The following is a 2,135-nucleotide window of genomic DNA, read 5'->3' on the forward strand; positions in this document are numbered from 1 at the left end:
AGCCAAGGGAGTACTTGCATTTCCTCTACCCCAACCACAGACAGAACAGCTCACAGCTCTGGGAGACTCCTTCCTTACCCTTGAGAGGAGAGGAGAGGAGAGAGTGAAGAGGACTTTGTCTTGTAAATTGGATACCAACTCAGCCAGAGTAGAATAAGGCATGAGGTAGAGTTATGAGGCTCCCATTTCAGACCCTAGCTCCCAGACAGTATTTCTAGACATACCCTTGGTCAAAAGGGCACCTGCTTCCATGAAGAGAAGGACCCAGTCCTTCTGGGACCTTCCATGAAGAGAAGGACCCAGGCAGAATTCATTAACTGCTAATGAAAAGAGCCTTTTGTCCTTGAATAAACATCAATATTAGCCAGATATACTCACTGCAGGCCTTGGATGAGACCTGGGGCTGTGCTGACTTTAGGTGTGACCCAGTACATTCCCAGCTGTGGTGGCCATGAGGAGAGAATCCTTTCCTTCTGCTTGAGGAAAGGAGAGGAAAGAGTAAAGGGGACTTTGTTCTTAAGCTTGGATACCACCTCAGCTACAGTCGGGTAGAGTATCAAGTGGCTTCCTGGGGTCACCAATTCCAGGACTTGGCTCCTGGACAGTGTTTCTGGACCCATTCTGGGCCAAAAGAAAGACAACTGTTCTGTAGAGAGGGACTTAGGCCTGGAAGCATTCACAATCTGATGGAAGAGGCCTTGGGTCTTGAGTCAACACTGGCAGTACCCAGGCAGCACCTGCTGCAGGCCTGGGGCAGTGGTGGCCATGGGGAGAAACTCTTTCTGCATGAGGAAGTGAAAGAAAAGAGTGGAAGGACTTTGTCTTGTGGCTTGGCTGTCAGCTTAGCCACAGCACAATAGAGCACCAACTATATTCCTAAGATTCTTGAATCCAGGCCCTGGTGGACAGGGGGATCTCACTATGCTAAGGGAAATGCCACAAGTCTCGCTGGATTTGCCACCAGTTGATTGAAGAGCGCTTGGGCCTTGAGTGAACATTGGCAGTGGCCAGGAAGTTAAGACACCCAGCGCTGTGCTGGCTTTGGGTCTTACCTAGTGCAATTCCAGTGGTGGTGGACACAGGGGTGCTTGTGTCACCCCTCCTCAAGCTCCAGGTAGCTCAGTACAGAGACTCTTTGTTTGGGGGAAACTAAGGGAAAAGAACAAGAGTCTCTGCCTGGTAGTCTAGGGAATTCCTCTGGATTTTACCCAAGATCCAAGTTAATATGTCTATGAACACACAGGAGTCACAGTATTATTGGGCTTCAGGTACTCCCTAATACTACAGCCTTATCTTCAGGTACAGATACAGCTGCAATGACCAAAGATGTAGATCATAACATTCAACTATCTTTGAGTACTTGTAAAGCCTTCCCAATAAGGTTGGGTACAAAGAAGCCCAGACTGAAAAGACTACAATAAGTACCTATCTCTGGCCACGTGCGGTGGCTCATGCCTGTAATCCCAGCTACTCAGGAGGCTAGGGCAAGAGAATTGCTTGAACCCGGGAGGCAGAGGCTGCAGTGAGCCAAGATTGCACCACTGCGCTCCAGCCTGGGCAACAGAGCGAGACTCCATCTCAAAAAAATAAAGAAAAAAAAAATCCAGTAAAATATGGCCTCACTAAATGAACTAAATAAGACACCAGTGACTATTCCCAGAGTAACAGAGACATGTGACGTTTCAGACAGAGAATTCAAAATGGCTGTTTTGAGGAAGATCAACAAAGTTCAAGATAACACAGAGAAGGAATTCAGAATCCTATCAGATAAATTTAGCAAAGAGATTGAAATAATTTTTAAAAATCAAGGAGAAATTCTGGAGCTAAAAAATGCAACTGACATACTAAAGAATGCATCAGTCTTTTAAGAACAGAATTAATCAAGCAGAAGAAAGATTCAGTGAGCTTGAAGACAGGCTATTTGAAAATACACAGAGGAGAAAAAAGAAAAATAATAAAAAAGAATGAAGCACACTATAAGTTCTAGAAAGTAGACTGAAAAGGGCAAACCTATGAGTTATTAGCCTTAAAGAGGAGGGAGAAGGAGAGATCAGGGTAGAAAGTTTATTCCAAGGAATAACAGAGAAATTCCCAAGCCTAGAGAAAGATTATCAGTATTCAAGTACAACAGGTTT

General features: G+C 45.1%; 1 annotated feature.

Annotated features, from left to right (window-relative positions):
- Positions 608–677: an enhancer, noted in NCBI's record as "active region_5379". NCBI's record gives its function as "activates an Ori minimal core promoter by ATAC-STARR-seq in GM12878 lymphoblastoid cells {active_cell/tissue: GM12878}" and the evidence as "EXISTENCE:reporter gene assay evidence [ECO:0000049][PMID:35858748]".

Source organism: Homo sapiens, chromosome 11 (genome assembly GCF_000001405.40).
Source record: "Homo sapiens chromosome 11, GRCh38.p14 Primary Assembly".
In the NCBI taxonomy this organism is placed as follows: domain Eukaryota; kingdom Metazoa; phylum Chordata; class Mammalia; order Primates; family Hominidae; genus Homo; species Homo sapiens.